General features: G+C 40.7%; 1 long non-coding RNA gene across 1 annotated transcript in view; it reads right to left on the bottom strand.

The window, feature by feature from the left end:
- CPVL-AS2 (CPVL antisense RNA 2) overlaps nt 1-4,344 on the bottom strand; it is a 33,403-nt gene extending 29,059 nt beyond the window's left edge. Inside the window, exon 1 of the long non-coding RNA NR_038965.1 lies at nt 4,213-4,344. This is a non-coding gene — a long non-coding RNA (CPVL antisense RNA 2). The remainder of the gene's footprint in view (nt 1-4,212) is intronic.
- Between the last annotated feature and the right edge of the window lie 9,858 nt (nt 4,345-14,202).

Here is a 14,202-nt window from a genome sequence, read left to right as displayed (position 1 = left end):
TTTTACAGGTGAACCAACATTCTTAAGGTCTGAAGATGTCTTTGGCTGTGTTAGATTTGCTTTTGCCCATAAGCAACAAATGAATTTATTCAAGACTTGTATTACCAGAAGGAAAACAAACCTAAGCCAGGACAAAATTAATGGGAAATATAAGGGTAAAAAACAAACTCCATAATCACCACCAACAAACAACCCACAGTTTGGTGGAGATGATTAGCATCAGATGGAGAATGGCGCCCAGGTGCCCAGGTGCCCAGGTGGGAGGATGTCCAAAGACAAAAGCAGCTGCATCTCAGCTGGCACCACCCAGAACACCTAAACCACTTGCAAAGACAGAAGTACTTCCTTCCACCCTCCCTCTCTCTCCTCCTCCTGCTGCTTCTGTTCTTCTTTCCTCTTTCCCTGGAGCAATGGGGATGTTCTAGGTTGGAACTTTCCCGAATGAGCGGGTCCTGTGTGATGGGGCTGAAGATAGAAACTGAGGGATGGGTGGGTGGGATTGTAGGATGGTAGTCATCTAGGAATATAGGCATGATTTCTTATCACTCTCCCCACACACTGGATTTCAAATGAAGACTTCCCTGACTGAGATAATAAAAGGTGCATTCAGCTGCCTCTATGGCTGTCTTATAATCAGTTCATAAGGAGTTGATGGGTGCTTTGAGCTTAACCAGACCTGCATATAACCTCAAGTCTAATTCTATCATGTGGCTTCTAATGCCATCATATGGAGCCTCTGGCAACAAGGCCATTTTCCAGTTGTTAATATCTTCTCCCTTCCATGCTCATCCTGCCAGAATCATTTACAGCTCTGTTTCTGAATCTACCCAGAAACGATATATTTTTTTCTTTGGCAACATGGTATCCAGAGAACAACACTTTCCTAGAACAAATGGATATAAAAGTTCTGTTCATTGCAATCAGCACAGTAGCAAAGACCTTCAGAGGTCTTGGTGTCACAGAAATTCTTGGATAGTATTTTTAACTTATAATTTTTATTACATTGGCAACTACACCCATTTAATGAAGAAAACTAGTTTGTTTTTCATATTAACAATTCATTAATGTTTTAGTTCATTCCAGAAAGCCTTAAGAAAAGCTACGAGGACAGGTACTTTTGTCTGTTTTATTCTGTCCTGTGTTCACAGCTCCTAGTGGAGCACCTGACACTTCGTAAATGTTCATTCATATTTATTGTTGAATGAACTGAGGTATTTTCTAATGGGAAATTGTGAGTTTGGTCATCTTTTCAATTTCATGGTATTTTATGTGAAATAGAATTGTTTATCCACCTTTAAGTTAAGGGAAGTTTTGACCTAGTTTTGCTCTTTAGAGGCAATGAGACCCTTACAAATAGATTTTTTAAAAAATCTAGCTTAATTTAAACTCATAAACTACAATAAGGTATTTAGAAAGTCAACCCTTTCTTCCAGTACGAATACAAATTCTATTTTGTGTCATGGCAGGACTGGAATATTCCTCTGTTGGTTACAAGCTGAGACCTGCCAGCAATAACAAACTGATGGTTCCCGCTACATTATGCCCGAGAAAAGGATTCTGGTAGAAGAGATGTAATTCAAATTAGATATGCTAAGATGAAATCTTCTCAACTCTTTTCATCTGTGGATAAACAAACCAAAAGCGAATGTCTAATTCTGAAAAATACTCCATATTGTTTTCTTCTTAATAACTCAACTACTTAAGCCACTGGTTGAGGAGTTGAAAAAATATAAAATTTCAACCTCTGCTTTTCGCAGTTAGAAAAAAGCTGATTTAATAGCTTAGAACCCCAACAACCGTTGGCCAAATCCCACATGAAGCTGTGCAGTGATTCTTAAGTGGCTTTTTAAAAGACTCTCTCATTTATAATGAAAATATAAACTAAAATCCAGACTGCCATATGTAATCTTTTCCCAGAGAGAAAAGCTTGCTCCAAATTTGTTGACGGCTAAAGAGAAAGCCAGTGAGACTCCCAGCAGTAAAACTGGGCCAGGATGAAAGAGGTAGAACTGAATCCTTTGACCAAAATTCAGATGGAGACCTATGTGTTTTCTGGGATTTCTATGAACCTGAACATAGGGAATATGTACCAGCAAGAGGTAAAACTAATTTGCGATCATGTCAAATCTGGAGCTTCTAATAGTTCAGTCTTGCACTTCACAACTTGCATGTGGAATTCCAGTGAAAAGAAAAGCAATACGCGTTAAGAAATCTCCAATGTGCCATTGAGGATTTAGGGATGAAGTTTCCATGTTCTTCCTGTTTTGATAGTTTTAAAAACCAGTTTTTGTTAACGGTGTATCTGATCCAGCTGTGAACTTATCTGTGAATGTGACTATCTAGAAAATTAGCAAATCAGTTACCATTTATCTTAGGTAATGCTGTTTCGTGTAGTAAATGATCAGTATAAACTATTTTTGTTCAATATTACAGTGAATATAAATGTTATATATAATCAATATAACATATAAGTACTAAAACCTTTTCCTTTACATGCCTTCTTTCTTTTTTCCACTGAGTACTTGAAAAAACAACTCTTGCACATCTTCTAGGATTCAGCCCCATGAACAGGAAATGTGATTTAACAGCACTTAAGCTTCTGAGAGTTAAATGAATCTGGCTATTGATTGCTTACCAGCATTAGGTGGGTTATCAGAAATGTATGCTGTTAATTTGGCTGGCAATGGGATTGACAGTATAACAGCACTACCACCGAAAGCAGCTTTGGTTTTAATCTCTAGAACTTTTGTACCAAAGCAGCTTGGATCTGCCAGGGATTTGTGTTTTAAAGGGATTATGTTAAAGATTATTAAAGTTGAACCCTCAAGGGACAAGGCTGGATATTCATGCTAGAAATGCAACTCCGGATCTCTACCGGCCAAGTCACTTCTGAATGTTTGAGGATTCCTGTCACACTCTAAGTTGCTATGAAAGTGTAGACTGGCTAAAGAAAAATCTTCCTTAGGAAAAGGCTGATTGGGAGTTGGCAAGGCAACTATAAACAGGACCCAGCCTTTCCCATTTTAGAACATTCAACGAGTCTAAGAGCTGGAAATGGAACGGCAGAATCATCTGAATACCTAAAAGTTAAGAAGATAGCAAAAGTGCACTTCATTAATTAAAGAAGATAAAATCAAGAAACAGAGTTGGGGGATGGAGCTAGCAAAGAGCTAAAGAGGCCTTCATTCTGTGGTCAGTGGAAGCAGTGTCAGATGGGTGAGATGGCCTGAGGCGGCCTCACGGGGCTGAGGGCGTTGAACAGGTCCAGGCAGTCCTCCAACCCTGAGCTGGACCAAAGGGACTGGCTGCACAGGCTGAATAAGAGGCACTGCCCACAAATCAATTAAAATATTTCATAATTAAGAAAAAAGCATTTCTAAAGCACAGTGCCCCAGGAAAGGAATTTGGAATAAGCCCAATAATAAAACAAACTGGACCTCTATTTGAGCTACTATCCTATGTGGAAGTGCTGGCTGTGTCATGAGCTCCTTCCTCAAGAGAAAACCTAAGACCTATGCAGGGCTCTTCCTAGACTGCCAGTAGGATGACACATTCAGGTGACATGAATCACAGAGGAGGGAGGTACTACCAACCCCCCTCCCAACATGACACATTTACATATTCAAAAGATGACAAAAAATCAAGCTCCGAGTGCTTGCAATTCATTTGGAAGAGATAAGGCTAGGACATAGCCGAACAATACTTCAAAATACTTATTAAGCAATAAATAACCAGCTGCAGTTGAACGCTCTCTAGATTCCACAGTCTAGTTTAATCCTATTTCAGCCATTTAGATTCCTGCATAAGAGCTCTGGCGCGTAAAATTCCAAGTGGGGTAAGACACAAAAATTTCCAAATATATGCCTTGATAATACTTTCCTGAAATGGAAATGTACTTACTACTCTTATTGATTAAAAGAGCAGATTGAGAGCAGTCTAAATATCCATTATTGGGTCTTCTCATATAAATATGATGTATTCCTGTTTTGTTTGTTTGTTTGTTTGGGTTTTTTTTTTTTTTTTTTTTTTTTTTTTGACTAGAGAATGAGGAAGCTCACTATGGACTGATATGGAAGGAACTATGTATCATTCAGTGCTCAAACACAAAAGTAGAAACCTCTCTATATATCTCAAGCAGAGTAGGATGGAACACAGGAAATTGGTTAAAAACTACTGGAAGGACTGAGGAGCAAAAAAAGAAGGGGCTCTTACCCAAAGAGGCTGGGAAGCTGCCACTGGCCCTTGGCTGAATCCTGTCAGGGATACTCAGTGTTGATCTTGCTGAAACTATCCCCGGATTGCTGGAGCCCAGAGCACAGGCAGTCCAGGCCAGCTGGGGAAAATGGCTAATCTCCTCCTCCCACACTGGAACCTAGCACCAGCGCCTCCCATGAAACCAGCTGGATGAGTGAGTCTGGGAAAGAGGATGGAGGATTATCCAGAAGGGTGGACTTGGACTTAAGAGTCAAGAGACACAATCCAGCACATCCACCCTTTTGCTACTCAGCATCCACACATTCCATTGTACGCACCCTACAGCAACATCACACTTCTTCCTCACAGAATGCAATTTTATTCCTCACACAGATGAACACAAGTTCACTCTCTCCCTAAAACAGATAATTCAGAGTAAAACCCTGTAAGATAGTGGCCTCAGCCACTGTATTCATCCCAGGGTGATGTTAAATTTTTTCCTTTCAGACACCATTGCACCTTTTATAATGGATGTTCTACAACCTAAAGGCTAAGTTGTAAAATTAACCACCAACACTCAGTGTTATGCAGAGTAAACAAAGAAGAAAATGTGCATAGCTGCTACGGGTTTTGTTTTGGTGACTGGTAACAAAACTAGTTGACTGATGATGATAATAGTTAAATAATAATTGAGAATGAACTTCTTCCAACGTCCATTCCATCTTCCTTTTACCTTCAGCCAGCAACTGAAGTTAGTTGTCTGGGGTTCTTTTCTTGGCAAGATTATTGAAACCTTCATTTTTGAAGGGTCTAAGTCTTTAGCTGTCCTGCAGGTTGCAATATTATTCCAGAAACTTTTACTCTTGGACATGGAAGTGCTAAGAGGCACCCAGGAGAATTTCCAGGGCTTCAGACATAGTCCTCTCTGCCACCATTGTGTGTCACGGCAACCCAATTACTCCCTGGTAATAATTCTGTTCAGTCACCCCAGCCAGAAAAGTAACCCTCTTCTTTGCCTGTCCATTTAGTGGCAGAAGAAACTTGAAATGGGCAGACAGAAGTATCGAATTCCAGTTCAGTGGAACGTTATTGTTTCCCCTAGAGGAAGCGTTCTCTCCTAGGAATCAAGACCTTTAAACCAGCTGATCTATGTTTTGTAGAAGGAGGGCAAATATTCTGTGAGTGATATTCAGGATGTGATAGTGAGAGTAGCCACTCTCATTTTTACCCCTTGACTCCCAGGTCTGTGTATCCTGACTATGAGAGACATAGCATCACTCATTTGCTGATTCAAAGCATAATCTACGTGCAGTAAGAAAGCCACCTAGACTGCAGGCAGTTATCTTCCAGATGGTACCATTTTTGAAACTTCAGTTATCTATTTCTAAATTTTGTAATGATAACTACCTTTGGGTGCTGGAGTACATGGTAATCCAATAAGTCCCATGGGCATGATACCAATGCTGTACTACTTTTGCTGTAAAATTAGTTCTTTGGTCACAAGCAAAGAACTTCTTTGGTCATAATCATCATGCTATTAAATAAGGCTCTGTGTTAAGTTCACAGATGGTGGTACTGATAAACCCACTGCAGGCAGTGAATGCACAGCATATTTAGAAATAGTGTCCCAGCCTGGGCAACATAGCGAGACCCTGTCTGAACAAAAAAATTTTTTTTAAAAAAGAGCTGGGCATGGTGGTGAGTGCCTGTAGTCCTAGCTACTTGGGAGGCTGTGGCAGGAGGATCACTTGAGCCCAGGAGTTCAAGGTTATAGTGAGCTATGATTGCACCACTGCACTCCAGCCTGGGTGACAGAGTGAGACCCTGTCTCTATTTAAAAAGAAAGAAAGAAAAAATAAATAGTGTCTATTCTAGAGGACAAAATCATGTCCTTCATAATAGAAGTTCCATGCAATAATCTGATGGCTGACTGGTCCCCCTGGGGAATGACTCCACATCAGAGACTCAGAGATGGTAGAGCCCCTGTCAGCAAGTTAGTCATTTATCAGTGACAGGAGCCAGACCAGTTTGATGAGGGGAAGTCCACATTGTTGAACTCATGTCTGGCTTCTCTCCCTGCCACAATGGCCATGCTCTTCATGAGCCTATTAAGCAAGCCTCGGGGTTGCTGGAAATGGACTGACTGACATCCACAGAACAGGCTATCCTGTCAGTGGACTGCTGAGGGCCTCATCAGTGGATGCCCTCTAATGAGAATTCATATGTGATAGTGCCCATAGGGAAAGGTCCATCTGCAAACCTTTTTCCTAGACTTCGTTGTCACCAGTATGCTAATAAAACCATTAATGACCCATCAATTGGTATATATCTCGACTTCTGGCCATCTCTCCCTCCAGATAACATGCTCAGTGTTTGGTCCTGAGAGAGCTCCTCTTACCACGTTCCTGATTTGGGCTGCAATGCTTCAGCAGTCCACATCTACCTGGTGCCTGCAAACTGCAAGGGACCATCTGCGAACCAGGCCCAAATGTTTTCTTAGTCTGTCAACAGTCAATCCTAAGAGGTCACAGATGTGGACTGATGGTGAATTAAAATTGCAGCAAGAATAGATGCTATGGAAGTCACAGCCACTTGCTCTTGAAACTTACTTGTGCCTGAAGGACCTGCTCAAACCGAACCTGGTATATACTATTTTACTACTTACACCTGATGATGGATTTCTGCCATGCATGCCTAACCTTATGGCTCAGAGGACTGGTGTATTAGTTGTCTGAGTTTCCTGAGTAATAAATTACCCCAAAACTTCACAACATGCATTTATCATCTTACATTGTTTCTGAGGGTCAGGAATCTGGGAACAGCACAGTTGGGAGAATCTGGCTGAGGGTCTCTCACGAGGCTGCAGTCCAGTTGTCAGCCAGTACTGTAGTCACCTTAAAGCTTAACTAGACCTGCTGTAGCCCAATGATTCTCACCTTAAAGCTTAACTAGACATGCTGTAGCCCAATGGTTCTCAAATGGGGGTGATTTTGCACCCCAGAAAATATTTGGCAATGTCTGCAGACATTTTCAGTTCTCAAAACTATGGGGAGTGATGCTACTAACATCTGGTAGGTGGAGGCCAGGCATGCTATTAAACATCCTGCAATGCACAGGCCCGCCCCACAGCAAAGAATTGCCTGTCCCGTAAATGTCAATAGTGCCAAGACTGAGAAACCCTGCTCTCTCTTGAGCCCTTTTTTGCACTGGTCCCTAGACAAAACTTGCAGCGTAGTAGGTAACTCACAACATTGCTCTGAACAATAGACTCTAAAAGTGTTTATGTTACCTCAAAAATAAAAAGACCCACAGAATATTATAGCTCTTCTTCGTGATAGGTGGTACAAAGTACAGTAATTTGTCTTTCACTTTGGAGAGGAAATGCCAATATTCTCCAGACCACACTGGACCCCTAGAATCTTCACCAAAGCAATAGGCGTTTGATTTTTCTTGGGGATCATCTCCCACCCCCTGGCATACATTTGTCTTATTAAGGCATGTACGATATTTGCTCCTTGCTGCTCATCATGTCAATTACACATCAGCAGGATGTTCTGCAGGATACCAAGATGGTCCAGGCTCCTGCAGACTAGTTCTCGTCAGAGAGCAGGAGAGGTAACGCAGGCCTGAGGTAAGATAGGGAGGTGTTTTGCCATTCCTCCAGCTGCTTGAGAGCAAGCTTCTTCTGGTGATATTTGCTAATTTGGTATCGGGGGGAAAAAGCATCCACCAGATTCGTAGCTGCATACCAAGTGCCAAGAGCTCTGCTGTGTTATCCAATAAAAGAGACTACATCTGGTCTAGTAACTTGTTAATGTTGTAAGAATTCACAGTCATTCTCCAATAACCATCTTCCTTCTGTACATGCCAGACAGAGGAGCTAAATGAGGACACAGTAGAACAACTCTTGTACTGTTCAAATGTTAGATAGAAGTACTAATCGCTGTCATTTCCCCAGGGATAAGGTATTGCTTTCAGTTTACTCTTACATAGGAAGGGGAAATCCCAAGAAGCTTTCACTTGGCCCTGCCTACCATACTAATACTCACCACACAAGACAGAAAATCCATATGGAGATGGGCTCTTTTTGTTTCTGAGATGACAGCTCCATTCAGGAATGGGAAGATAACCACATCGCAGGTGAAGAGACCCACTGGAATCCAATGAAGCAGCCACAGGTCCAAATTTCATTTACTACCTGATTACCAATAAGTGATACCCCCCTCCAATGGGTCAGAGGCATTTTGGGTCTCTAGAGATTAGCATAGACTCAGAACCAATGTCCAGAAATCTACCAAAAGCCTGGATATGCCCCCTTCCTCAGTACACAGTTACCCTAGTGAATGGCTGCATGTCTTTTGGGGAAGACTGAAAGGAAGATTTATGCTAGATACTTATAGCAATGTTATAGGGGCCTTCCTCAAACTTCCCAATCCTCTCCTTCATCTAAACTTTAGAGTTCTCAAGCCTTAGCATGCATCAGAATCAGCTGAAGTGAAGATTGCTAGGACCCACCTCCTGAGTTCTTGTGTCAGTGGGTTTGGGGCAGGGTCTGATAATGTGCATTTCTAACAAAGTCCCAGGTGATGCTGTTGCTGCAACTTCTTGGCCACGGTTTGAAAATCGGCAATCTAAGGATTTCTGTGTTTTAGAACTGACTCAGGTCTGGAATGTAGATGAGAGGCAATGACTCTCCATTGAACAGCTCAGGTTTCTATTCACTAGACCTAGAGATTTTCTGATTATATAAATCAGATAATTCTTAGTAGACTGCCCGTCTAGTTTGTCCTAGGGCCACTATGAATAGTGAGCCAATAGCAAAGGTCTCTGTATGCTACGACGTTCCGCTTGCTGCTCCATTATGACCATTACGGCAACTGTGCCCACCTTGCTCCTGGATAAGAGCTGCCACCTGGTTCTGCCCCTCCAGGAACCCATCATCCATTAAAATCAAGAAGTCTTTTAATGAAGAGGTCTTCTCTCAGTGGGGTCTCTTAAGAAGCCCCAACAAGACAGTTGGCTTGAAACATGTGCCAACTCTGGAGAAACCTGACCACATTAATGCCAATCAAGAAAGAGCTTTTCTGCTCTTACCACTCTATCTCCCTACATTCCCTACATCCTGGAAGGGCCAGAAACTGTGGCGTGCCTGAGTTTCATCCAGGCAATGAAAAAGAAATATCTCAAGGATTGGATTTTAAAAGATATTGGGGGCCAGGTGCGGTGGCTCACGCCTGTAATCCCAGCACTTTGGGAGGCCGAGGTGGGACGATCACATGAGTTCAGGAGTTCGAGACCAGCCTGGCCAACATGGCAAAACCCTATCTTTACTAAAATACAAAAATTAGCCAGGCATGGTGGCATGTGCCTGTAGTCCCAGCTACTCGGGAGGCTGAGGCAGGAGAATCACTTGAACCCAGGAGGCGGAGGCTGCAGTGAGCCAAGATGGTGCCACTGCACTCCAGCCTGGGTGACAGAGTGAGACTCTGTCTCAAAAAAAAAAAAAAAAAAGATATTGGGAAGCACAAATAAGGTTGCTTTATAATTGAACCCTCTAAGACCTGTTTGTTCAATGTACCAGTAATAATGGCAAATGGTGTGAAAACATATGGAGATGGTTATATCTCCATAGAGAAGGCAGACTACAAAACAGCATGTTCTCAGACACAGCCAGTTTCCCAGATCCCCAAGGGACCATGGAGAAAGGCAGCTGTGGATGGTCCTACCATGAGCCGTGAGGATTCTGCCATGGCCCAAGAAGCAACTCATGGGTTTTAATACCCACCTGGCCCTCTCTCACACCTGATTACTCTGAAGAGTCTGCAAATGTGCCTACCCACTCTCTGGGTGCAAAACTACCTCAAGGCATTTCTGAGTGTTAAATAAAAGACCAAGCAAAGTGAAAGGCAATTTCATGGAGCAACCCCCAGGAGGTCCAGACTTTAGGCTGTCTGAGTTCAATCCTGAATGTCCCCATTTGTTGGAGAGCCTATCAATTCCTCTCTTTAGTGAATAAAATGAGCTATTTAAATATATACACAAGTCTGTTTCTGGATTCTGCTCTACATGGGCACCAGGACAGCAAAAAGGCTACTGGGACCACAGCAATGTGAGCAAGAAGGGTAACAGGAGGTGAGATCAGAGAGGGATGTTCTGTGTGTGTGGGTTGGGGGGATATCACATACAACCTTTAAATGCTCAATGAGATGGGAGCCACTGTAGGGGGTTGATCAGAGGGGTGACATGACTTGATGAGTATTAACAGAATCGCACAGCTGCTGTGTTGTTCTAGGGAGAACAGATGGTGGGGGCAAGAGTAGAAGCAGGAGAGTGTGGAAATAATCCAGAGCAGAGAGGACAGCTGCCTGTACTAGGGTGTTGGAGACGAAAGTTATGCGAAGTGGTCAGAATCTGGATATCTTCTGAGGGTAGAACCAATGAGACTTCCTAATGGCCTGGAGTGTGAACAAAAGGGTGAGGTCAAGAATGAGTGTAAGGGTTTTTGTCTGAGTAAATAGAAGGATGGAATGACTGTTGCCTAATGTGGGGAAGAGTATGGGAGGAGCAGGTTTTAGGGACAAGACCAAATTTTAGACATGTTTAATTTGAGATTTCTCTATGGTATTTGAGTAGAGACATCAAGTAGGTAGCACAAGACACAAGCCTTGCCTTTAAGAGAGACACCAAGGCCACGGACAATTTGGGTGTCTTTAGGGTAGAAACAGTATTTAATGCCATGTGATTACAGTAGATCACTGATGGAGGGAGCACAGAAGGGACAAGGTCCAAAGACTGGGTCCCAGGCACACCAACATCAAGACATCATGGATACAGGAACAAATCAGCAACAGAGAGTTGGAAGGAGCAGCTAAGGTCAGAAGAGGGGGTGGTATCATCAAAGCCAAGTGAAGACAGTGGTCCAAGAATGGATCAGCTCTATCAAAGGCTGCTCAAGCAGAGTAAGACAAAGGCCAAGTACTCACCACTAGATATAGCAACAGTCATCAGTGACTTGCTAAGAGCAGTTTTGGTAAAGTAGCAAGGCTGAAAGTCCTAACTGGAGAATACTTGAGAGGATGAAAAGAAAAATGAAGACATGGAGTTTATACATCATTTTTCTAGAAGTTTTGATGCAAAAGGGAGCACACAAATGGGGCAGTAGTTGAAAGGGCAAGTGAAGTCCATTAAGGAATTATTCTTTCCAGATGTGAGAAATGACAACATGTTTGTGCTCTGATTAGAATGATCCAGTAGAGAAAGGGAGACATTGATGAGAGAAAGGAGAAAGGAGAGAATCATTCAAGCAATGTATGGGTGCCCACCAGGCAAACAACACTCTCAAACACTGCTGGGTACTGGCTCAAAAACTGTATACTGGCTCAAGCTTTTTGAAGGGAAATTGGGCATAATATGTAAAAATGATAGATGCACATATTCTTTGGCATAGCAATTTTCGATATTCTATTCTGCATTGAAATACAAAGACATATCTACATGTTATTTATCACAACATCACTTATTACAAGATTGTAAAAACCGGGAAAAACATTTAAATGTATATTGATAGCAATGGTTGAATCCATACTTGGAATATTACATAGCATTGAAAATAAGGTGATCTACATGTGCTGATATGGAAGCATCTCCAAAATTACTCAAGTAAAAAATATCGAGGTAGAGAAGACTACATGGTATACTTCCACCTGTGGGGGAAAAACCGGAATAAAGTAATACATAAAGTTATATAGAAAACATAGATTTTTATATATGCATAAAACATTTCTGAGAGAACTCATACTTTCCATTGAATATCTTTTTCCAATGTTTCCATTTATTTTAAGAAATTCATTTATATTTCATTAAAAATTAATGAAAGTATAAAAAGTATTTACTAAAAATAAAAAAAGTAAATTTAATAATTTTGGCTGTACACTATTTTATTAATGTAAATGTTCTTACATAGTGTTTAAGGAAGAAATACCACTATCTTCTAGTGTTGTTTTAGAAGGTAATGAAAAAAGACACCCAATAAATCTTTTTAAATAAATTTTTACTGAACCAGTAACCAGCAAGGTCTTTATTCAATAATTTGCAATTTTGGAATATAAGTTCTCTCTGCATACCGAATGTAAAAGGTTTTGGGTTTCAAAGTGTATTTCTGTGTATTTCTGTTGGGCACACTACATGCATTCAACAAAAACTTGTTTGGTTAAATCTGATCACTAATTAGATGAATGTCAACCCTATCCATTTGGGAAATAGAATTTAAATACGAAACATTATCAAGGCTCCCTTTTTTTAAAAGGTGAATTTGTTTCTGTGTATACATATATGTGTGCTTAATAAAGATTAGCTTCTTTTTATTTTCAGCCTATTGGACAGAATATAACAATGCTATGAGCTAAACGAGAAAGCCATTTTGATATAATTTAGCAAACTATTTAATCATATTAACAAGTGAGAAGCTATGAATTAACGGTGGAAAGGAAAATGAGAAGGAGAAGACCAATTTCCAGAAGCAGAAATTATCCCTGAGGCTGGAGTTTAAATGTGTAGCTATACGGAATTAAGAGGGTATTTTAAATATAAAGGCTTTAGAAATTAATAGTTCTTAAAAATAAAGAACTATAACCATTAGGTAACTCTAATTGGGTATAGATGGGAAAACGGAAGGTGGAAATTAATAATTTTTAGTGTCTGTCAGCTAGGAATCTTTTATTTAGTACTTCATGAGCAACACTGACAACCATATTGATGATCTTGATGGATGACAAGACCTTGAACTTCTTTCTAAAGCATCAAGACTACATGTTTTTCAATATTTCTAGTATTAAGCATACTTACTGTAATAATTTTTTAAACTAGCATTATATGCTACATAATATTATCATATATAACAATACTGATTTCTCACCATAAGAATTTTTTTAAATTTAATTTTATTTTTTGAGACAGAGTCTCACGTAATAATATTTTAAGCATTAGGGTGTCTCTGCTATTTAAGCACACATGTTTTTCCTTTCCCCGGTTTACTGAATTATTTATTAGCTACAGAGTATTCATGCTCTGTGCTAAGAGCCACTTCTCTTCCCTTCTGCAACTGGAGCGCAAGTACATATTCTATTTCATTATCAATTTTAAAACCTACCTGAAGCTAAGGAAGTAATTATTCATAGGGATGGAATCGCTGGGGTGGGAGTATATTTTTAAAAACATTAGGACTTGTTTTTAGTACTGGGTGTATTTGCTGCTTTTTTTTGTTTGCTAATAGACAATAATATATAGGCAATGCATAAAATCTTCACACTAAGGTACAATTATTTGTAATCAAGATCCACACAATGACAGGCTTCCAAGACTAAAAAGGCTAAAACTTGGTTTGCTGACAAAAGGTTCATCCATTTCAACTCAAACAAAAAATGATTGATGAAGCATTTGCACACCTGTTTGGGAGACTATGGAAGATGCTGTAGACAAGTATTTTTCAAACTTTATCGCACATACAAACCATCTGGGGGTCTTGTTAAAATACAGAGTTGAATTCACAGATCTGGGGTGGACCAGGACATTCTGCATTTCTAACATGGAAATCCCGATGCTGCTGGTCCACAGACCCCACCTTCAATACTGTAATCCTGGCTGCATATTATGGGGAAACTTAAACTGTGCAAACCAGGAAGACAGCCCTCACCAGAACCTGACCACTCTAGCATGATGAATTCAGACTTTCCAGCCTCCAGAACTGTGAGAAAATAAATCTCTTTTGTTTAAGCTACCCAGTCTATAGTATTTTGTATGGCAGCCAGAGCCAACTAACATACCAGGTGATTCTAATAATACACAGCCTCGGTCGACAACCATTGTTGTGAAGGGCATTGAGATGGCATAATCATAACTCTGTTTTAGGACATTTACTTACTAGGGAAGCTAAGACCTTGGCCTTAAAAAGTCACAGGTAGTTGAGTGTAAGACTGCTAGAGTATTAAAAGATTCAGAATGAGACAGCAG

Source organism: Homo sapiens, chromosome 7 (genome assembly GCF_000001405.40).
Source record: "Homo sapiens chromosome 7, GRCh38.p14 Primary Assembly".
Lineage (NCBI taxonomy): Eukaryota > Metazoa > Chordata > Mammalia > Primates > Hominidae > Homo > Homo sapiens.
This window is presented reverse-complemented; position numbering and strand designations above follow the sequence as displayed.